Source organism: Homo sapiens, chromosome 13 (assembly GCF_000001405.40).
Source record: "Homo sapiens chromosome 13, GRCh38.p14 Primary Assembly".
In the NCBI taxonomy this organism is placed as follows: domain Eukaryota; kingdom Metazoa; phylum Chordata; class Mammalia; order Primates; family Hominidae; genus Homo; species Homo sapiens.
Window position 1 is genome coordinate 45,326,640 of NC_000013.11, and position 22,647 is coordinate 45,349,286.

The 22,647-nt window shown below is 45.5% G+C and overlaps 1 protein-coding gene, 2 long non-coding RNA genes and 2 other non-coding genes across 7 annotated transcripts in view, besides 6 other annotated features; 2 read left to right on the forward strand and 3 right to left on the reverse strand.

Moving 5' to 3' along the window:
- Positions 3,513 to 4,013: an enhancer, noted in NCBI's record as "H3K4me1 hESC enhancer chr13:45904287-45904787 (GRCh37/hg19 assembly coordinates)". NCBI's record gives its function as "activates a minimal SCP1, AML or CMV promoter by ChIP-STARR-seq in primed H9 embryonic stem cells {active_cell/tissue: H9 hESC(primed)}" and the evidence as "EXISTENCE:reporter gene assay evidence [ECO:0000049][PMID:30033119]".
- Positions 6,832 to 14,544, reverse strand: TPT1 (tumor protein, translationally-controlled 1). 3 transcript variants are annotated; one of them, NM_003295.4, is made up of 6 exons: positions 14,403 to 14,544; positions 14,073 to 14,146; positions 13,355 to 13,545; positions 12,858 to 12,963; positions 12,021 to 12,137; positions 6,832 to 10,749 (listed from the first exon to the last, which is right to left on the reverse strand). In NM_003295.4, the coding sequence occupies exons 1-6, from the start codon at positions 14,428 to 14,430 to the stop codon at positions 10,747 to 10,749; spliced, it is 519 nt and encodes a 172-aa protein (NP_003286.1). In that variant the 5' UTR covers positions 14,431 to 14,544; the 3' UTR covers positions 6,832 to 10,746. The 3 variants fall into 3 exon arrangements, with proteins under 3 accessions (NP_003286.1, NP_001273201.1, NP_001273202.1); NM_001286272.2 differs by having other exon boundaries at positions 6,832 to 10,914; NM_001286273.2 differs by lacking the exon at positions 14,073 to 14,146.
- SNORA31B (small nucleolar RNA, H/ACA box 31B) lies at positions 9,675 to 9,808 on the reverse strand. The gene has a single exon (NR_145985.1). It is a non-coding gene; the product is annotated as a small nucleolar RNA, H/ACA box 31B (small nucleolar RNA).
- Positions 10,841 to 10,970, reverse strand: SNORA31 (small nucleolar RNA, H/ACA box 31). The gene has a single exon (NR_002967.1). It is a non-coding gene; the product is annotated as a small nucleolar RNA, H/ACA box 31 (small nucleolar RNA).
- Positions 13,614 to 14,403: an enhancer, noted in NCBI's record as "H3K27ac hESC enhancer chr13:45914388-45915177 (GRCh37/hg19 assembly coordinates)". NCBI's record gives its function as "activates a minimal SCP1, AML or CMV promoter by ChIP-STARR-seq in naive H9 embryonic stem cells {active_cell/tissue: H9 hESC(naive)}" and the evidence as "EXISTENCE:reporter gene assay evidence [ECO:0000049][PMID:30033119]".
- Positions 14,301 to 14,370: a silencer, noted in NCBI's record as "silent region_5313". NCBI's record gives its function as "represses an Ori minimal core promoter by ATAC-STARR-seq in GM12878 lymphoblastoid cells {active_cell/tissue: GM12878}" and the evidence as "EXISTENCE:reporter gene assay evidence [ECO:0000049][PMID:35858748]".
- Positions 14,451 to 14,560: a silencer, noted in NCBI's record as "silent region_5314". NCBI's record gives its function as "represses an Ori minimal core promoter by ATAC-STARR-seq in GM12878 lymphoblastoid cells {active_cell/tissue: GM12878}" and the evidence as "EXISTENCE:reporter gene assay evidence [ECO:0000049][PMID:35858748]".
- The window catches only part of TPT1-AS1 (TPT1 antisense RNA 1), a 50,139-nt gene continuing 42,197 nt past the window's right edge, over positions 14,706 to 22,647 (forward strand). The window contains exons 1-3 of the long non-coding RNA NR_024458.1: positions 14,706 to 14,748; positions 16,787 to 16,901; positions 17,740 to 17,807. This is a non-coding gene — a long non-coding RNA (TPT1 antisense RNA 1). The remainder of the gene's footprint in view (positions 14,749 to 16,786; positions 16,902 to 17,739; positions 17,808 to 22,647) is intronic.
- Positions 14,721 to 14,920: a silencer, noted in NCBI's record as "silent region_5315". NCBI's record gives its function as "represses an Ori minimal core promoter by ATAC-STARR-seq in GM12878 lymphoblastoid cells {active_cell/tissue: GM12878}" and the evidence as "EXISTENCE:reporter gene assay evidence [ECO:0000049][PMID:35858748]".
- LOC124903169 (uncharacterized) lies at positions 14,795 to 16,664 on the forward strand. The gene is made up of 2 exons (XR_007063781.1): positions 14,795 to 14,991; positions 16,648 to 16,664. It is a non-coding gene; the product is annotated as an uncharacterized LOC124903169 (long non-coding RNA).
- Positions 15,983 to 16,770: an enhancer, noted in NCBI's record as "H3K27ac-H3K4me1 hESC enhancer chr13:45916757-45917544 (GRCh37/hg19 assembly coordinates)". NCBI's record gives its function as "activates a minimal SCP1, AML or CMV promoter by ChIP-STARR-seq in primed H9 embryonic stem cells {active_cell/tissue: H9 hESC(primed)}" and the evidence as "EXISTENCE:reporter gene assay evidence [ECO:0000049][PMID:30033119]".

Sequence of the window (22,647 nt, forward strand, 5' to 3'; positions counted from 1 at the left end):
TGAGTGGATCAAGACCAGCCTGGGCAACATGGCAAAACCCCATCTCTACAAAAAAATCCAAAAAAAAAAAAAAATTAGCTGGGCCTGGTGGTGCACACTTGTAGTCCCAGTTACTTAGGGGGCTGAGGTGGGAGGATCACTTGAGTCCAGGAGGTCGAGGCTGCAGTGTGCCAAGATCGCACCACTGCACACCAGCCTGGGTAACAAAGTAAGACTCTGTCTAAAAAAAAAAAAAAAAAGTAAAAATAAATGTAGGCTGGGCACAGTGGCTCATGCCTATATTCCCAGCACTTTGGGAGACAAAGGCAGGAGGATCACTTGAGCCCTCAAGTTCGAGACTGGCCTGGGCAACATAGCAGACCTCATCTCTACTAAAAATAAAAAAACTAAGCAAGGCGTGGTGCAGCGCACCTCTAATACCAGCTGCTTGGGAGGCCGAGCGGGGAGGATCACTGGAGCCCAGGAGTTTCAGGCTGCAGTAAGCTGTAATTGTGCTACTGCCCTCCAGCCTGGGTAACAGAGCAAGGCTCTGTCTCAAAAAGAAGAAAAATAAAGAATCGGCCTGTGATTGGTCTAATAAGACAGGTAAAGTTGGTCTGATATTTGGCTTTAGTTAGAGCCAGAATCTCAAGGGGAGGGAGACAGGATTCAAGAATACTAGGATGGAGTGAATGTGAGAAAACAGAATGAGGGCCCAAGCCTGTAGAGAAGGAAAATACACTGCAACCCTATCATGCGGCCTCCAGACCACAAGGTTAAAGATTCCACCTGCCATCTTGTACTTTTATGCTGCCCACTGCTGCCACCAAGGGATACGTGAAAGACATTCCAGCGTGATCTTCGTCTTTGCCACATAACAATTCTATACAACTGTGTTCACAAGTAAGTCATATCAGTGCCTCATAGCCCTGGTGGTAGTTAGGAAATCCTTCCTTTTTTTCTATCCTAAATCTCTATTTCTGTAGCACTCTAAGCCTGGATCTTCTTAGCTTCTCTCAGGAGGGAGAGGACAACACCCTTGGGTGTCTTCAGCATTCTCCAACTGCATAGGTGTTTGTTCTCCATAATGGCCTTGGGCACATTTTTCCTTCCTCCTCGCAGATGGGTCACCTATTGAAAATGCTGCGGTGCTGTCATGTGGCATCCCCAGGGTGAGGCCAGAGCGACAGGATGTCATCCGCCTCTCACCCACCTCATGAGCATTTCCTCCAGAAACAGGCCAAGAGGAAAGGCCCGAACTTTCAAGACTAGGATCAACCCTGCAATGTTTGTTTGGGGGGAAAAAAAAAAAAGAATATAGGCACACAAAGTTTCACGTGGTACAGGGAAGGTATGAGTTGCCCATTTTAAAGTGACATCAAACTGCTTGTCAACCCTGAAGAAGAATCTAGGGATAGATTAAAAAAGTTTTTTTTTTTTTTTTGAGACCTCTTCTCACTCTGTTGCCCAGACTGGAGTACAGTGGTGCAATCTGGGCTCACTGTAACCTCTGCCCCCTGGATTCAAGCAATTCTCTCACCGCAGTCCCCCAAGTGGCTGGGATTACAGGCACCTTCCACCACACCCAGCTAATTTTTGTATTTTTAGTAGAGACAAGAGTTTTACCATGTTGGTCAGGCTGGTCTCAAAGTCCTGACCTTGTGATCCGCCCACCTTGGCCTCCCAAAGTGTTGGGATTACAGGCGTGAGCCATTGCGCCCGGCCTAAAACATATTCTTTTTTTTTTTTTTTTTTTTTTGAGACGGAGTCTCACTCTGTCGCCCAGGCTGGAGTGCAATGGCACGATCTTGGCTCACTGTAAGCTCCGCCTCCCGGGTTCACACCATTCTCCTGCCTCAGCCTCCCGAGTAGCTGGGACTACAGGCACCCACCACCATGCCCGGCTAATTTTTTGTATTTTTAGTAGAGACAGGGTTTCACCGTGTTAGCCAGGATAGTCTCAATCTCCTGATCTTGTGATCCGCCTGCCTCGGCCTCCCAAAGTGCTGGGATTACAGGCGTGAGCCACTGCGCCTGACCCCTAAAACATATTCATGATGCAGTTTCCCAAGGCTACACAAAAGTCAGAGAATGTGAACAGGCATCCTGTATTTTGCAAGTCAGAGAATGTGAACAGGCATCCTGTATTTTGCACTGATTCAGAGTAGAGACCAGTATTGTAAGAATTTCTCATGGTAAAGGCACTCCTATGATAGCCTCTACTTACCAAATCAGCCGATGAGGTAAGTATGAGTTTCTGTTTTCTAGATGGAGATACTGAGGCTTAGAGAGGTTAAGATGCTGGAGTTCTCACAGCAAGTGGTTGGGCTTTTATTAGAACCCAGATTTCAAAATACCACCACTGCATAGTACTAATTCCACATGCCTTCTTCCAAAATGGAAAGAATGCCTTTTTTTCTTGTAAGTCTGCCAAATTGATGCAGACGCTTATCTTTTATTTGTTTTAGCCGAGCTAAAATAGAATGAAAAAAAAAAAAAAGAAAAGAAAAAGGAATTAGGAAGGAACATGTCTAAAGTACACATCGGATGCTGAGACATCTGGTATGCAAAGTGAGAAAAAGGTATCACAGTGTAAGTTCCTGCGTGTGAGTCCAAAATCCAACTGCACCAGTGTGTGGATGGGGCAGACCTGGTTTCAGCAGCAAGCATGAAGACAAGTTTTAGCTGGCAGAAATTCAAGACAAGTCTCCTGTCTGATATTACCCAAAAGAAGCAAATGTCAGTTTAGGCTGCATTAAAATATTATTGCGTTGGCTGGGCGCAGTGGCTCACACCTGTAATCCCAGCACTTTGGGAGGCTGAGGGCAAGGAACATGAGGTCAGGATATCAAGACCATCCTGGCTAACATGGTAAAACCCCGTCTCCACTAAAAATACAAAAAATTAGCCGGGCGTGGTGGCAGGCGCCTGTAGTCCCAGCTACTCAGGAGGCTGAGGCAGGAGAATGGCGTGAACCTGGGAGGGGGAGCTTGCAGTGAGCCCAGATCACGCCACTGCACTCCAGCCTGGGCGACACAGCGAGATTCCGTCTCAAAAAAAAAAAAAACAAAACAAAATTATTGCATTAACATACAATGTGGAAAACGAGGCCAAGCCATACCTGGGGAACTGCAGGGCCTTCACGCACTGTGGTTAAGAGGGACGGAAGTCAAGGGTGCTGAGCACTGGACAGGCGCATTAGATTCCTTTCCACTCTGGCGCTTTATATGTTGCTTTAGCAAGAGGGCAGTAACCACAAGCCAGCTGCCTGAGCTGTTTTCCTTTATCTCATGAGCTCATTTCCTTCCCATGCTTCCTGCTACAATAGTGGTTCCTCAATCCCCAGCAGGGAGCTGAAATCCCAGAAGGGTTTTTAAAATGCTGGATATTCTGGCTGGGCACGGTGGCTCATGCCTGTAATCCCAGCACTTTGGGAGGCTGAGGCGGGCAGATCACTTGAGGCCAGGAGTTCAAGACCAGCCTGGGCAACACGGCGAAACCGTGTCTACTAAAAATACAAAAATTAGCCAGGCGTGGTGGTGGGCACCTGTAATCCCAGCTACTCAGGAGACTGAGGCGGGAGAATCGCTCAAACCCAGGAGGCAGAGGTTGTAGTGAGCCAAGATTGCACCACTGCACTCCAGCCTGGGTGACAGAGTGAGACTCTCCCTCAAAAAACAAACAAAAAACCCGAAATATTAAATGCTGAATATTCTGTTTCAATAGGTGTGGTGTAGGCTCAGCACAGTGGCTGGCGCCTGTAATCATAACACTTTGGGAGGCTGAGTTGGGAGGATCTCTTGAGCATAGGAGTTTGAGACTACGGGGAATTATGATCACAGCACTTCACTTCAGCCTGGGCAACACAGTGAGACCCTGTCTCAAAGAAAGAAAGAAAGAAATTACTCTCATTCGAGAGGTACCCTCCATATACCCAGGGAAAATAAATATCCTCATCTCTGAAGACACAGAAACACAGAGAAGAATCTGAACAAACAGGCCTTGCTAAGTTCCCCCCAGTTTACCATTAGATCATCCGCTTTGTCCAATACTTTTGCACAACTGTTCACTCTTCATTAAACCAAAACAGAAAAATACACAAGCTCACCTGTTTCTTTGGGTCCTCATTTCCTTACAAAGGCTCCCATGTCACAGAAAACATTTAAAAAATATGTACGCTGGCTGGGCATGGTGGCTCACACCTGTAATCCCAGACTTTGGGAGGCTGAGGCAGGCAGATCACGAGGTCAAGAGATAAAGACCGTCCTGGCCAACATGGTGAAACCTGTCTCTACTGAAAATACAAAAATTAGCTGGGCCTGGTGGTGCGTGCCTGTAGTCCCAGATACTCGGGAGGCTGAGGTGGGAGAATCACTTGAACCCGGGAGGTGGGGGTTGCCATGAGCCGAGATCGTGCCACTGCACTCCAGCCTGGCGACAGAGCAAGACTGTCTCAAAAAATAAAAACAACAAAAAAATGTACGCTTTGCTTTTGTCGATTTGTCTTTTGTTATAAGGGCCTCAGTCATGAACTTAGCAATGGGTGTGGAAAGCAATTTTTCCTCCCCTACATGAAAATCTCTGCTGCTCTGACACTCACACCCAGTCCTCCTCCTCCTCCCTGGTCTATGGAACAGAGCAGAACAGGTTGCACATTACTTAACCAAATTTCAGAAGCTTAGTCACTTTTACTTTTAATAGATACCAGCAGTTGGTGTTACCATCATGCTGATATAATGGCAGTCACCAACGGTACTAACACACAGCCTGTGTTCCATCTGACAAAATCCACCACTGTGGATTGAATCCCTTCAAGCTAATACAATGGGAGAGGCTTAGGAAGGATGGGGTGCTAGGAACATAATGAAGAAAAGGTTACAGTGCATCATGCCCAAGATCTGTGTTTGCTTAGCTTCCAATTTTATCCTTGCCATCTGTTGATGCACATTCTTCCACCTCACTGAGGTAGTCAAAAGAGGTATTCATTTTCTTTCTAATTTCATGTGCAGTAATTTTCCTCTTTAACTGCCAGTTTCCACCTCCAGATTGAATACTAGTTTGGATGTTTGACTTACATGATGAATTGGTAGTTCTTAAGGATAACTCCCAAATTAATGTACTCAAGGAAGAGGAAATTACATGTATAGCTGTTTTGAATAGATGTCCAGAAAATACCAATTTTATACCAACTGCTTAGGGAACAGTAGAATAATTTGATAACCCTGTGCTCTAGATGAGGTCATGTGCAAGCCGCAATTGATAATAAACTAGGGCTTATCTGCTTCCTTTACATGTGGAGAAAATCAGCAATTATACAAGTAGATTTTTTTTTTCTATTTTTTATAGAGATGGGCTTTCACCATGTTGTCCAGACTGGTCTCAAACTCCTGAGCTCAAGTGCTCTGACCGCGTCAGCCTCCCAAAGTGCTGGGATTATAGGTGTGAGTCACCACATCTGGCCAACAACTAGATTTCTAGTAACTAGGTGTGGTAGCTCATGCCTGTAATCCCAGCACTTTGGGAGGCAAAGGCAGGAGGATCACTTGAGGCCAGGAGTTTGAGATTAGTTCCAGCAACATAGCAAGACCCTGACTTCCCCCCGCTCCCCCACAAAAAAAAAAAAAAAAACCCAGAAACTCAGGACTAAATGGTAGCCAGTAGCTCTACTGTCCTATTATTAAAAACACTGTGTTATAACTCTTGACTAATAATTGTGGCTTGTGTCCCAGAGGGCCCCTCCAGTGAGTCCCTTGATGTCTCAATTTTCCTTTGTCTGTAGATTGTGACTCACACACAAAACAGCACTGCAGTGTTCTTCCCAGTTTGTGCTCCTTGCTCTACCTCTGGACTCAGAGAAGAGTGGAATGCATACATAAATGAATGGAGGAGAAAGTAATTGAGGGAAACATCATTGCACAAGTTATTTTGGCAAGAATCTTCCCCTAAACTCATATCTGATGTTTCTCTCATTGAATTGTATTGACTCCAGCTAAAGCCACATCCACTCCCAAAGGTTCTCATGGCCCAGCATATGGAGGAAACTTCAATGCCAACTTCCAGGCTCAATTATATGAAACTATGTGTAACCGCACAAATCTACAGGCTCTCAAAAAATAAACTGGAATGTTCTGGTAGTTAAAAATATGCCCCTACAGTAGTAAAATCTGTTTTGAACTGCTGACATGCACAGGGGCCTGATTTATCATTGCTGCATTGATTAAGGGATAGACTTGGAGGATTTAAGTGAGGTAAATAGAAACTATCAGCACTATTATGATTTTTAACTTATCTGCAAGCTCCACATTTAGAGTGTAGCTAATTGAGATGGCTAGCATAGCAGCCAACTTTTATTCAATGGAAGGTATGTGGCACCTTTCTCTTTCAAGAGACAAGACCTCCCTCTATTACCAAGGCTGGAGTGCAGTATTGCAGCCATTAACTCGCTCCAAGCTCAAACTCCTGGGCTCAAGCGATTCTCCCTCCTCAGCCTCCCAAGTAGTTGGGATTACAGGTATGAGCCACTGCCTAGCTATGGCACCTTTTACTTTACTTGCTTATGTTAAAAACACTTTAATCAAGGCCTTTTCCTTCGGAATAATGAAATATTAAATGTTTCCAGAAACTTCAAGTTGCACTCACAGTTCTTATGGATAGTCTCTAGAAACACATGCTAATTGCCACAAAGCTGGAGCTCTTTAGTAGTGACCTACTAGTTGTAAATTACTGATCACTATACTAGTTGTAAATTAGTAAATCCTCCTGGTTTTAGTTCCATTTTACTGAGTATTCTGCTGCCAGCCAGTCATTCCACTCCACCTGTGTGCACACACATATAACCTTAAGGATGCTTTGTTATCAGTGTTCTCTCAAGTTGGTTGAGATTTATTGCTCGTCTTGCAATTTTACCATAATTATCACCAGTTTAGTTTGCAGTTAAGTTACTGACAATCCCTGCAGTTCAGAATGACAGAATTTACATCAACAAAAATCTAGTCATTTAACTAGATTTTGAAACTCCTAATGATCCAAATGAGTAATTCACACCTATTACTGAAGCAGATGCACACATAATAAAAAACCATGTACCTGTATTGTATTTCATGCCTGCGACTGTTAGTCTCTTGAGTGCATTTTAATTAGACTTCCTTTCCCACTAGTGAAATCCAACGGTAGTCAAGTTTACCACTATCAGGCCTCATATTACTTAAGTACTTTGCAACAGGTAACCCTGTTGACTACTTCCTCCTTCCTAAAACTTTTTCCACCTGACCTCTGGGAGGCCCTCCCTTGGTTCTTACCTCAGGGGCAGTTCCTTCTTTTTTAAAATTTTTAAACTTTTTTCAGATAGTGTCTCACTGCCGCCCAGGCTGGAGTGCAGTGGTATGATCACAGCTCACTGCACCCTCAATCTCTCGGACTCAAGCCATCCTCTCAGCTCAGCCGCCTGAGTAGCTGGGACTACAGATGCCCAATTAATTTTTTTAGGTCTCCCTATGTTGCCCAGGCTGGTCTCAAACTCCTGACCTCAAGCGATCCTCCCCACTCAGCCTCCCAAATTCCTGGGGCTACAGGCATGAGCCATGGTTCCTGGCTAAATTTTAGAGATGGGGTCTCCCTGTGGTGCCCAGGCTGGCCTCTAACAATCCTACCTCAGCCTTCTGAGTACAAGTGCAGTGGGAGCACCTCTTAATTACCTTTGTTGGTTTCTCTTTGTCAACCAATCTCATGTTGGAATGCAGTCTATCCTCTCTCCAAATGACCTTATCCTGTATCATGGCTTTCAATGTCTATTGTTATCTTTCCACTCTCTATATAGTTCTCCAGCTTAGACTTCTCTGAAGAATCAGCATCTCAAACTTAACACATCCAAAACTAACAAAACTAAACTCGACTTCCCACCTCAGTGCCAACTTTCTTCCAAACGCTCAGACCAAAATACTTGTATCAACATTAAATCCATCCTCACCCACCAGCATATCCTGTTGTCTCTATCTTCATTTCCTACCACCTCAGTCTACTACCCTAGACTAAGCCACTATCTTTGCCTTAAAAACACATTATACACAATTATTCTATGCTTTTACCCTGCCACCTGGCAGCCAAAGTGATCCTTTAAAAATTTGAGTCATATCATGTAACTCTTCTGCTCAGAGCGCCTGTGGTTTCCTTGAGGTCTGGTCTTCCTTCCTTGCACACTCCCACTGCTTTACAACCCTTCCTGTCTTCTTGGGTTAGCAAAGTGGCCACTTTTTTCCCAGAACACATCACACTCCAGACTAACTGCTGTTGTCTTGGCCTGGAATGGTTTGTCCTGATATCCACATGGCCTACTTCCACACCTTCATTTGTTTTCAAATGTCACATTACAAGGACCTTCCTAGAAAAGTCCTCTTGCTCCACTCAGTTGTTCTCCACACTTTAACAAACCCTAGGGCCCACAGGCTACTAAAGCATGCCTTTGTTAAACTTAGCATCAAAAACAAAATGTTATGAGCTTTCTGATGTTCACATCCTTATTCTTGCCCAAAACGTCTTGACCCTAGGAATAACGAGAAAAAGATATAAAATGAGACAGTCTTCAAAGTCTGAGAAGATTCTACCTGGAATCTTCAAAGGTTTACCATGAGGTAAACAGCTGGGGTTCATCACTTCTGACTTAAATAGACATGATAAAATGCTATGTCCCAGCCTTGATTGGATCTGGATGTTGGGAAAACAGCTAAGAGCACTGAAAGGACAACTGGGGAAATACCTCTTCTGCAGAACTGAAAATCTTCAAAACAAGTTGGAGCAGTGGAGCCCACAAAGTCTCTGAATTGCTACTTGTCTGTTTCAGGCTTCCAAGGCTAGTTCACCAATTAGCTTCCATCTCTCACCTCAAGGCCTTCTTCACTATCCTGGTTTCCCCAGCTTTGACCACTGCCTGAAAATTCCCTTCCTGCTATCATTTCAGAGGACAAAAGGCCCTGTAGATGAGACTCACACTTTTCATTACAATGTCAAATCAGAACGCTAAGCCAGGTGCAATGCCTCACACCTGTAATCCCAACACTTTAGAAGGCCAAAGCTTGAGATCACTTGAGGCCAGAGTTTTCAGACCAGCCTGGGCCACATGGCATGACCCCATCCCTACAAAAAATCTATCAGAATGCTTAAAATTGCTATTAAGTTCCCAATACGTATTTAGGTTTGTTTCCAATCACGGGGTGCTGGGGGTTAACATTAGTATCTGCCTCAGGTTTTGGACACTATGGACAGTCTGGAATTTGACACTAGGGCAAACTCCAGATTGCTCAAACCACTACATTCACATGTTCAAGCAGACCAGAGTCACTGGCCTGCTTTTAATCTTTCTTTTACAAGTGTAATCAACCAGGTAAGGCTGATAGACTATTTCCCAAAACTCACGTTTTGAAAATTCCCCTCCCAGGCTAGGCCTGCACTTTGGGAGGCTGAGGTGGGCAGATCTCCTTGAGCCCAGGAGTTGAGACCACCCTGGGCAACTAAGCGATACTCGGTCTCTACAAAAATTAGCTGGGCATAGGGGTGCATGCCTGCAGTCCCAGCAACTAGTGAGACTGAGGTGGGAAAATGGCTTGAGCACAGGATGCAGAGAATGCAGTGAGTTGCTTGTGCCACTGCACTACAAGCCTGGGTGACCGACCTGCCTCAAAAACTCTTCCCGCTTTTTTTCCTCCTGTATTCCTCTATTCAATCTCAGCTGCCACAATTAGACAGACGGAAAGCGCAAGGACATGTTCTTCTTGCATCTGTGGTGGAAACCATAGCAGCAGATAGCAACTGCTCCAGGTCTGTCAAATAGATGCATTTTCTTATTCAGACACCCCATCTTTTCAGATACAATATAGAGAACATTTTTACCCCTTTGCCCACCAGCCAGCCCACATTCTGTGTACCTTCATCTTTTAAATCAGGGGCTGGCAAACTTGCAGGCTCTAGTCTGTTAGACACAACTCTGCTCATGCACTGACAACAGCCACAGTCAATCCATAAATGAATAAGCATAGCCACGTTCCAATAAAACTGGACTCGAACTTAAATTCCATATCCCACAAGGTATTCTTTTCCCCTCAACCATTTAAAAAGGCAACCAACCACCTTAAAGTGTACAAAACAGGTGGTCAGATAGGCTAGTTTGCCAGTCCCTGTTCTAGTTACCAGGGAGTTTAATTAACATTCATCCCAAAAGACTTCGCTCTCTTTATGTGAAATAAGCTGAGACAAAGTTGCTTCCACTGAATGAGTCTCTTTTTATTCTCTTGGTAATCTCTTCCAGTTAACTACTTCCGTTGTAGGTGATGAAATGGGTAAGGCTCCACACTTCAGATGTTGGCACTGCTATGAGCATGGTCTTTCCCTTTATTGCAACTCAAAATCAGAACCTTTGATTCTTTTTTATATTCCAGTCCCAGAAGTAGTCTCCACTGTAGAAGTTAATTGATGAGTAGTAGCCTACAATCAGGCTCTAGCTTCTCCAGGAACACTACAGGATCAATTTAGTTTAAATATGCATTAAACTAAAAGGCATTCTCTCAAATGAGTTTAAATGCATTTTATTTTTAGACAACCTACATGACATGTTTTTCTTAAAAACAATGCCTCCACTCCAAATAAATCACAGTCAAAATAAATGAAGAGCTCAAGATGACATCAGTCCCATTTGTCTTAAGTCCTGGTGTTGTGTGGATGACAAGCAGAAGCCAGTTATGATGACAGGTGATAGATCCAAAATAATTGCCACATTTGTTACTGTAAAAGCAAAAACTACATTAATATTTTTCAAACATTACACTGCAAAAGTTACATTACCATTAACATGCAGCCTACATTTCCAGGCTAAAGATGTATTCCCCAATTCAATCTGGGCCGCCACAAAGACAGACAGAAAGCGCAGGGATTTCTTTCTTTTGCATCCTAGTGCAAACCAAAAGAACAACAGTAAATTGTTCAAGGTCTATCAGTGGATGCAGAACACCCTTACCAAATCAGCGGTAGCTCATTTTTCAGAAGGCTGTGGCATGTACCACCCACACCCTGCTCTACCAACAAAAACCTCAGATACTGTCTGAATAACCCCTTTGGTAAGTCATCTTATACTGTTCTAAGTAATTTCTGTCTACTGTTGACTCTAATCTTGTTCAGTATAGCTTTATGTTTTTCTTCTTCCTTATACAGAAGCCTATGAAAACTAGGATAATGAATGCCTTTGTTTCTGTACAGCTTCCAGCAGTTCCTTCCATAGAAGACACCAAGTTATTTATTATTAGTAAAACAATTTGCATACCAGTTCAGCAGTCAGCTCTATTTACTAAGCTAGTACTGCACTAGGCTTTTCAATGATCAGCTGCCCATTATCAGTAAACCAAAGTGAAAACCACTGATACTGATCCATACGTATACAGCAAAATATGATTATGAAGTGAAAGTGAGGCCATATCTAGAGGAAGATCAATGGTGTTCTCTGATCTCCTTCAGCATTTAAACTCTACTGTATTTTTTTGAGACAGCACCTCACTCTGTCACCCAGGATAGAGTGCAGTGGTGGGATCTCTGCTCACTGCAACCCCCCTCCCAGGTTTAAGTGATTTTCCTGCCTCAGGCTCTCGATTAGCTGGGATTACAGGTGCCCGCTGCCATGCCTGGCTAATTTTTGTATTTTTAGCAGAGATAGGGTTTCGCCATGTTGGCCAGGCTGGTCTCGAACTCCCAACCTCAGGTGATGCACCCACCTCGGCGTCCCAAGTGCTGAAATTACAGGTGTGAGCCACCACACCCAGCCTAAACTGTACTTTATTATGCCCCATCTGCACTCAACGTTTTCCACAAATAAGATTCTAAGCCTTTTTATACCCTAAGAATTTTTTACATATGAAACACAATTCTCTTGATCCCCAAAGAGAAAACTAAAACCATGTTTCAGAACGCTGTAAAACTCATTCTCAGTGTCACAAAACAATTGCAAATCACATCTAAAATGTCTTTTTTACATTATTTATTTTAACCCACTTCCTTGTACTTACACATTTTTCCATTTCTAAACCATCCTTAAAGAAAATCATATATGGGGTCACACCATCCTCACGGTAGTCCAATAGAGCAACCATGCCATCTGGATTCATGTTTTCACCAATAAAGAACTTGGGAAGCAAACAAAATACCTAGAATTAGACTATTACATACAAATACATGCCATTCAAAACAAACTACAGTACAAGGGAAGGTTTAGACCACCACAAAAATCAAAACTTCAGTACCCAAAAGCTCTGATGCTCACTTATCATAGACATCTGTTCACTGGATTAAGGCACCTTAATAGTGACCTAAATAGAAAAATAACGTACAGAGCAATCCAGGAACACTAGGCTTTCAGGAAACCTTTACTCTCAATCCTAAATACAATCCCAAACCCTAAAGCGTGCTTATATAGTCAACCACAGGGAACATAAGGCTGACAGTGATAGAATATATCATACAGTCTGGAAGTATCTTATGGCCAGGGGATGCATGAAGCTGGAAAATTAGAGGAAAGGGAAAGCCACTGACATTTTCCAAAAGTAGAATTAACAAGCTCAGATACATTAGAAGGAGGACCAGTAGCAATGAGACACATTAAAATTGTAAGCAAAAAACTGAAAGAACACTTAGGTGGTTAAGCAATTCACAAAAAGAAAAACTGAGAAATGTCATCTGGGAAGCAAATTTTCAATCAGAAGACAAGATTTGGAAACACCTGCGAGCTGGGAAAGCCACTTTCTACACCTGGAATACTAGTATAGAATTGAAGATTAATCAACTTAATTTTTGCTCTTGCAGTTAAAATTGTACAATCCTTTGATCCAGATACTTAAGGTATTTACCTGGTAGTTTTTGAAATTAGCAAGGATGTGCTTGATTTGTTCTGCAGCCCCTGTCATAAAAGGTTTTACTCTTTCTGGTCTCTGTTCTTCAAGTTTCCCTTTGATTCTAAAACAACATTTCATTAACAGGTTGAAGTATTGAATTTTCAGTAAAATCAATTTTTAAAGTAAAAAATATCCAAGCTTAAAAAAAGAAAACACTGAAAAAGGCAACCAGCTGTTAAGAAATTACTAGTTCACAGAAGGTATCTTTCAAGAATGTTTACATTTCTTGTTGACTATTTTCAAAATACTATTCTAATTCTAAACGGAAACAGACTGCAGGCTTCAGTATGCTCATATTATAGAAAAGCAACCACTCTTTTCCGTGAACTCATTAATAAAAAAGCAAGGACTTTCACAAAAGTATACCCACTGCGAAAGAACCTCAAAAGTTAGCCAATCTTTAAATCCTGTAAGATTCTAGACATCAGCTAGGTACTGCCAGTATCACTTACGATTTCATGTAATCTTTGATGTACTTCTTGTAGGCTTCTTTTGTGAAACTTGTTTCCTGCAGGTGATGGTTCATGACAATATCGACACCAGTGATTACTGTGCTTTCGGTACCTTCGCCCTCGGGGCCTTCAGCGGAGGCATTTCCACCAATGAGCGAGTCATCAATGTTACCTTCTGTCCTACTGACCATCTGCATTAAGAAAAAGCAGTATAATTGCAAAAGACACAAACGCATCCAAAGCACCTTCCACGCCAATAGTTCACGGATAAGAAGTATTCTTAGTTCTTGCTGAAAATAAAAAAAGCACCATTTTGGGAATAAAGTTGTGACCCGTGGATTTCTCAAAACGACCTAACTTAAAAGAGTTGTCTGTTGGCCGGAACAAAAAATGGGGTCATTAAAAAGTTGTTTCCAGTTGCGGGCATGTGATGCCTCCGGTTGGTAAGTGGGGACAGGACAAACACGAAAGGACTCCAGGCTCCTAAGCCGGAAGCATCATGTCCCGGACAACCCCGGGAGGAGGATGGGCGCCGAGGCGGCGGGCCTATTTCCAGGATCAGCTCCGCCTCCAGTTTTCTAGAAAAACCCAAGCCCGGAAAGAGCGTCTCCTCCGCCAGGAGGCGGCGGGGAGGATTGCACAACCTCAGGCGGGGGAGCGGAGGAAACCCGAGCCCGCTCGGCCCGGACTCCCCCACGCGCAGGCCCGACCGACTCACCTTCCCCTCCACCTCCAGGCACAACCCGTCCGCGATCTCCCGGATCTTGTAGATGTCGGAGAACATCTCATCGTCTGCCGGATACACAGAGCCGCCCATCACCGTGCGCCTGGCGCCGCCATTTCCCGCATTTCCCGCGCCGGCGGCCGCACGCGGGATCTGCCCCTCCGTAGCACACCAGAGCTGGGCGCGAGCCCCGGGCACCGACCCCTCCGCGCTCGGCTAAGACCGCCGGCGTCCCCTAGGCCCGCGACGGCTGCGCCTTCCCCGCCCCCACCCGCACCCCAGACCCCCGTGTGCGGCAGTAAGGATAGTGCAGTGAGGACTCACGGCTGATGAGGTCCCGGTAGATAATCATGATGGCGACTGAAGGGAGACGACGACGGCGCTAGCTTAGCACGAGCCTGAAACTCGGAGCGAGCGCGGTGCAGCCGGAGCGGCGCTCGGGGGGAGGGGGGAGCGGGCGGAAAAGGCCGACTCAGCCGCTCCCCAACCTCATATAGAGGGCACGTCCCTCTACGTCATCGCCCGCTGCGCCTCCGGAAGCGACGCAGGCGGTGACGTGGCACGAAGAGCCGCGCGGGGGCGGGGCCACAGCGGGGGCGAGTCGGGGAGGTGAGCATCCGGGGACTTGAGGCGGAGACACAAGGCTCCGTTCCACTGGGCACGCCAGCGGGTAGGGGTGGGGGCGGGGAGGTGCGCGCGCAGCGTGGGAGGAGGCCAACTCTCGGGGCGCTCCCTAGCCCTGGGTGGGTGGAGCGGGGGAAGCGGAGTACGTTGGACCCGGCTCCGCCCTACCCCACGGGGCCGCCTGGAGAGGTGCTGGGAGCTGGGTGGAGCTTAGAGGAATTAAACTTTGGCCCTGCGCCTCGTCCAGCCTAGGTTCCACCCTTTTCTGGGAACGTGAGTATCAACCAAGGTAGGAGAACGTCGCATTTAGGGAGGGTCAGGCCCTCTGGCCTGGGGTAGATCTCGGGACTGCCCGAGGGCCTCTGACAACTTTTCAGCATCTGCCCCAGGGCTGCCCCAGCTGGAGTTTTTGGGACGCTTTTGTGGGGGCACCGCTGAGTCCGGATAGTGGGACCCAAGTCGTCCTGCTCGGCCCCTGGGGAATAATCGTGTGGGGCGCAAGGTCTGTGGGAAGGGACTTGGAGAGGAGGGAAGATGTCACGGGAGTCTGCACAGGGTTTCCATGTGTTCCAATTTTGTCCCATAATTGAAAGCTTGTGGCATTCTGTGGCGGACGGCTACGGAGCTAGCTCTTCCCTTTACTATTTCGCACTTGGTCTTGGAAAAGTATGTTGTCGCTTTAAGATGAAGTTGAAATTTTATCCCTGGTGCTAGAGGGTCACACAAAGGGAGTTTCCCACCTGCCCCACCTGTTTTTTGAAGGACTTTACACCCAATTACTAAGTATTAAAACAAAACAGGTCCTGCATGGTAGCTCATGCCTGTAATCCCAGAACTTTGGGAGGCAACTACTGAAACCCTGTCTCTACACACACACACACACACACAAATTAAAAATTAATTGGGTGCGGTGGTGCCTGCCTGTAATCCCAGCTATTAGGGAGGCTGAGCTGGGAGGATCGCTTGAGCCCGGGAGTTGGAGGTTACACTGAGCTATGATTGCACCACTGCGCTCCAGCCTGAATGACAGAGCAAGACCTTGGCTCAATAGCAAAACAAAACTTCCGTATTTAGTCACATCGTCACATCTTTGGCATAAGGCAAAGATACATGCCAGTATGAAGTCTGAAAGCTTGTTCTATTTCGCAAATATTTTGTGCTTTGTATCCCTTAGAACTAGGATTTGCACCAAGATTCCAATTGTGAACAAGTTCGATCCAGTCCTACTTATAGAAGTGTTCATTCTGGTAAATCAAAGTATCAGACAATTATAATACATTAACAATTGTTCATAAATCCAATAATATAGCATTCAGCAGAGTAAGAATGCAACCCTTGGGAAAGAGCAGGACACAGGATGGCAATTGGAATGATGGAAAAGTCAAAATGCAAGAGCCAAGAAATTAACCCCTTTAAGAAGATGGGGGGACTGGGCGTGGTGGCTCACACGTGTGATCCCGACACGCGCCTGTAATCCCGGCTACTCGGGAGGCTGAGGCAGGAGGATCGCTTGAACCCGGGAAGCGGAGGTTGCAGTGAGCCGAGATCGCGCCATTGCACTCCAGCCTGAGCAACAAGAGTGAAACCCCGTCCTCCCCCACCCCCAAAAAAAGAAGCTGGAGTTCTTGGATGGAAAACTCCAGAGGACATTGGGCAACTGGGAGGAAGCTAAAAAGGGGGGAAAGGGAAAAAAAAAGATGGGGGTCTTGGATGGAAAACTCCAGAGGACATTGGGCAACTGGGAGGAAGTTAAAAATGGGGTGAAAGGGATCCCAAAATAAATGGATATGACACATGGTCAGTGAAGGCTCTCAAACCTCATTTCTGGAATGTATGAGATGATTATCACACATTAATACTGTGTGAACATTTTTTTTCCAGATTATTACAGTATAATTATTTTCTACCCCGCCCCGCCCAGATGGGGTCTTGCTCTGTTGCCCAGGCTGGAGTGCAGTGGCATGATCTCGGCTCACTGCAACCTCTGACTCCCGGGTTCAAGCGATTCTCCTGCCTCAGCCTCCTAAGTAGCTGGGATTACAGGTGCCTGCCACCACGCCCAGGCAATTTTTTTGTATTTTTAGTAGAGACAGGGTTTCACCATGTTGGCCAGGCTGGTCTCAAACTCCTGAGCTCAGGCGATCTGCCCGCCTCGGCCTCCCAAAGTGCTGGGATTACGGGCGTGAGCCACTGCACCCGGCAAGTATAATTATTTTCTTCAGTTTTAATACTTCCAAACTATTCAGAAATATTATCATTGACCCATGCAGTACTCTCAAACATTACTCTCAACTGCCCAATCTCATATTCAGGTCGAAACAGTTCTTTAAGTTTTATAAAAATATAGTCGTGGTGAAAAAAAGTACTGAAGAGTCATGGCACCCTAGATTAAAATCTTGCCTTTGGCCGGGCGCGGTGGCTCACGCCTGTAATCCCAGCACTTTGGGAGGCCGAGGCAGGTGGATCACTTGAGGTCAGTAGTTTGAGACCAGCCTGGCCAACATGGTGAAACCTCGTCTCTACTAAAAATACAAAAATTAGCCGAGCCTGTTGGCGGTTGCCTGTAATCCCAGCTACTCAGGAGGCTAAGGCAAGAGAATCGCTTGAACCTGGGAGACGGAGGTTGCAGTGAGCCGAGATTGCGCCACTGCACTCCAGCCTGGGCAGCAGAGCGAGACTCTGTCTCAAACTACAAACAACAACAAAAATTTTATTGATAAAATTGCGGGCTCTGAAAAGAAAAGATCTTGAACACCCAACCAATGAGAATAAACAGACGGTTGAGAAACAATTTAGTGAATAGTGAACAACTTTATTTAAAATGAAATAAGAATAGAAAAGAAAAATCATATATAAAGGCGAATCACAGTAAAGGTGAGTATTATTTTGTGAAGCTTTTATTTTATTTTTATTTTATTTTATTTTATTTTATTTTATTTTATTTTATTTTATTATTTTTTGAGAATGAATCTCGCTGTGTTGTCCAGGCTGGAGTGCAGTGGCACCATCTCGGCTCACTGCAACCTCTGGCTCCCAGGTTCAAGCGATTCTCCTGCCTCAGCCCCCTGAGTAGCTGGGATTACAGGCACGCGCCACCACTCCCAGGTATGTTTTAGATTTATGTATGTATGAATGTACTAGATCCCACATATATTTCTTCCTGTGGTTATAAGTCAAGTGTTTTGAAATCCATTGACTTGGGCAAATTTTCTTTTCAAATATATTACTTGGCACCATAAACTCTTCAATTTCAGCAAATGATTTTTTTAAATGACCCCAGTGTTTTGTGAATACTTATATTTGACTCTAGCTCATTTGAACAATTTTTGCCAGAAAGAGAAAACAGCCAAATGGAGATCTGGCTTGCTGTGTAGGGGCTGAGAGAAGTGTGATCATTCTGACCCTCTATTAGCAGGAAACTGCTCAACAGTCACATCTTGAAAGTAACTTGAGGCAACTGCAGGAGGGCTGCATGGCGGGAAAGAAATTGCTGAAAACAGGCTGGGTGAGCTGGCTCGTACCTGTGATCCCAACACTTTGGGAAGTGAAGTTGGGCGGATCACTTGAGGTGAGGAGTTTGAGACCAGCCTGCCCAACATGGTGAAACCTCGTCTCTACTAAAAATAATAAAATTAGCCAGGCATGGTGGTAGGCGGCTGTAGTTCCGGCTATTCGGGTGGTTGAGGCCTGAGAATTGCTTGAACCTGGGAGGTGGAGGTTGCAGCGAGTCGAGATTGCACCACTGCACTCCAGCTTGGGTGACAGAGCGAGACTCTGTCTCAAAAAAAAAAAAAAGAAATTGCAGAAAATTTTTCTCCCCTCCCTTTTTCACTACTGTCCTTGACTAGTTAAAAAAAAAAAAAAAGCCGGCTGGGCGTGGTGGCTCATGCCTGTAATCCTAGCACTTTGGGAGGCCGAGGCAGGTGGATCACCTGAGGTCAGGAGTTCAAGACCAGCCTGGCCAACATGGTGAGACCCTGTCTCTATTAAAAATACAAATATTACCTGGACGTGATGGCAGGCGCCTGTAATCCCAGCGACTCGGGAGGCTGAGGCAGGAGAATCACTTGAACCCGGGAGGTGGAGGTTGCAGTGAGCCTAGATAGTGCCATTGTACTCCAGCCTAGGCAGGCCAAGGTGGGAGGCTCACTTGAGGCAGAGTTTGAGACCACTCTGGGCAACATAGCGAGACCCCATCTCTGAAAAAAAAAATTGTTGAAAACACCTCAGTTTTCTCTCCCTCTGAAAAAGAAGCTACTGTCTATAGAAACAAAAGGCGGCCCGGCGTGGTGGCTCACGCCTGTAATCCCAGCACTTTAGGAGGCCGAGGTGGGTGGATCACGAGGTCAGAAGATCAAGACCATCCTGGCCAACATGGTGAAACCCCGCCTCTACTAAAAAATACAAAAAATTAGCCGGGCGTGGTGGCGGGCGCCTGTAGTCCCAGCTATTTGGGAGGCTGAGGCAGGAAAATGGCGTGAACCCGGGAAGCAGAGCTTGCAGTGAGCTGAGATCGCGCCACTGCACTCCAGCCTGGGCGACAGAGCAAGACTCCCGTCTCAAAAAAAAAAAACAAAAGGCATAGACTTCGCTCAAATTGTCACCCTCTCCACAGGCTATCCTTGACCATCATGTTTAAAATTACAATCCCTGCCTCTTGGAAATCCCTGTGTTTTTGTTTTTTTTCCTTTTGAGACGGGATCTCATTCTGTTGCCCAGGCTGTGAAGCGGCACAATCACAGCTCACTGCAGCCTCCACCTCCCTCCTCAGCCTCCCGAGTAGCTGGGACTACAGACACGTGCCACCATGCCTGGCTAATTTTTCTATTTTTAGTAAAGTCAGGGTTTCACCATGTTGGCCATGCTGGTCTTGAACTCCTGGCCTCAAGTGATCCACCCACCTTGGCCTTTGAAAGTGCTGAGATTACAGGCATGAGCCACCACGCCTGGTTTTTCTTTCTTTTTTTCTTTTTTTAATTTTGAGACGGAGTCTTGCACTGTCGCCCAGGCTGGAGTGCAGTGAGGCAATCTCGGCTCACTGCAAGCTCCGCCTCCCAGATTCACGCCATTCTTCTGCCTCAGGCTCCCGAGTAGCTGGGACTACAGGCACCCGCCACCACGCCCTGCTAATTTTTTTGTGTTTTTAGTAGAAACGTGGTTTCACCATGTTAGCCAGGATGGTCTCGATCTCCTGACCTCGTGATCCACCCGCCTCGGCCTCCCAAAGTGCTGGGATTACAGGCGTGAGCCACCGTGCCCGGCCCCATTTATCCCTAATATTTATTTGTGGGACTAATTAACCAACATGTTATTTCTTTTCTTTTTTTTTTTTTTTTTTTTTGAGATGGAGTTTCGCTCATTACCCAGGCTGGAGTGCAATTGCACAATCTTGGCTCACCCAAACCGCCACCTCCTGGGTTCAAGCGATTCTCCTGCCTCAGCCTCCTGAGTAGCTGGGATTAGAGGCATGTGCCACCACACCCGGCTAATTTTGTATTTTTAGTGGAGACGGGGTTTCTCCATGTTGGTCAGGTTGGTCTTGAGCTCCCGACCTCAGGTGATCTGCCCACCTCGGCCTCCCAAAGTGCTGACATTACAGGTGTGAGCCACCATGCCCAGCCCCAACATGTTATTTTCTTATACTTACTTTATTTTCTGTCTCCCCTCCAGACAATGTAAGTGCCATGGAGGTTGAGAGAGTTTTTTTGCTCACAGTTGTATTCCCGGTGCATTAAACAGTGCCTATGGCTGGGTGCAGTGGCTCATACCTGTAATCACAGCACTTTGGGAGGCCAGGGTGGGCAAATCACTTCAGGTTAGGAGTTTGAGACCAGCCTCTAGGTCAGGAGTAGAGACATGGCAAAACCCTATCTCTACTAAAAATACAAAAAATTAGCTGAGCCTGGTGGCATGGGTCTGTAATCCCAGCTACTCGGGAGGCTGAGGCACAAGAATCCCTTGAACCTGGGAAGTGGAGGTTGCAGTGAACCAAGATCATGCCACTGCACTCCAGCCTGGGTGACACAGTAAGACTCCGTCTCAAAAAAAAACAAAAAAACAAAACAAAACCATAGAGAAGAGCTCTTCCCTGGGAGGAGGAAAAGTGGCCTAAGACATAGTTAAATCATAAAAGCAAGTTGTAGAACATCACTCCTTCATTTAACACCCAGATACACATGACAAAAACCAATAGACTGCTCTACCTATGTGTATATATTTACAAAAGCAAACATGAGAATCTAGAAGGTTATGCATCAAACTGGTAACAGTGGCTAATTCTGGGAGGCAGCTGGGGAAAAGTGAGTGGTCAAAGGGGAACTATAGCATTAATTGTTTCAATTTAATATCCAATAATGTTTCATATTTAATATCCAAAATATTCTTTTTCTCATAGATACCAAACATAATAATGCAAATAAAGTATGGGGAAGTATTTATATCATATGTAAACAATATATAAGGAAAATGCACCAAAGAAATAAGCATATATACCTGAAACAAGCTAAGGGAGGGCCATGCATAAATTGTTGGCCAGGCGCAGTCGCTCACACCTGTAATCCCAGCACTTTGGGAGGCTGAGGCAAAAGGATAGCTTGAGCCCAGGGTTTCAAGACCAGCTTGGGCAATGTAGTAAGACCCCGCCTCTACTTTTAAAAATAAATGAATAAATTGTGTGGCTGGGTTTTCTGATCACTCAAGCAGTATGTGAGTGTGAGTGTGTGTGTGCGCGCATGAGCACGCACAGGAGTGAACTAGCTTGATTTTTGAAAAATGGACCCATAAATTGTTTTGCTAAAAATATCAGCAAGTCCTTATTTGGGAGTAGTGAAGAGGGGCTGGGTGAATGCTTGCCAACATGCCGCAGGAGGAAGATAAATTATCTTTTTACTTTCCACGTTTTCAAGTGAAGAGCATAGTGAGGTGGGAATTAGAGATAATAGAATTTGAAAAGCATATTAATTTTTTTCATTATGCTTTGCCTTGCTTGAAAAATTATTGCTAGCAGCTTTTAGAGTTCTATGTAGCACAGCTCCCTCAAACATTAAGGAGGCCATTGGTGCAAACCGAAAATACAAATAAGACAGTAAGGTGAAGCCAGGGGTAAGGATGATATCAAAGGATGTGTCATCAAGTCCTGCACAGTTGTCAGAGGTGGACTTCACACAAGGCATTTCTCTCATGGGCCCTCATTATGTGATTTAGTCTCAACGAAACCCCTACAGTGAATTTAGTAATGGGTGGCCTATGGCTTCTTTCTTTTTTATTTTTTTATTTTTTGTGATGAAGTCTCGCACTGTCGCCCAGGCTGGAGTGCAGTGGCGCTATCTCGGCTTACTGCAACCTCCACCTCCCAGGTTCAAGCGATTCTCCTGCCTCAGCCTCCTGAGTCCTGGGATTACAGGCATGCGACCACACCCAGCTAATTTTTATATTTTTAGTAGAGACAGGGTTTCACCGTGTTAGGCTGGTCTTGAACTCCTGACCTCGTGATCTGCCCGCCTTGGCCTCCCAAAGTGCTGGGATTACCAGGTGTGAGCCACCACACCTGGCCGGTTTATATCTTTTTACTTTTCTTTTTTTTTTTTTTTTTTTTGAGACGGAGTCTTGCTCTGACACCCAGGCTGGAGTGCAGTGGCGCAATCTCGGCTCACTGTAACTCTGCCTCCCAAGTTCAAGCGATTCTCCTGCCTCAGCCTCCCAAGTAGCTGGGATTACAGGTATGTGCCACCACGCCTGGCTAATTTTTTGTATTTTTAGTAGAGATGGGGTTTCACTGTGTTAGCCAGGATGGTCTCGATCTCCTGACCTCGTGATCTGCCCACTTTGGCCTCCCAAACTGCTGGGATTACAGGCATGAGCCACGGTGCCCAGCCCATTTCTTACAACTTTCTTCGGTGTAGGCCTAACCTTCATATTCAGTTCAGTAAAAATAAGCCTACTGGTA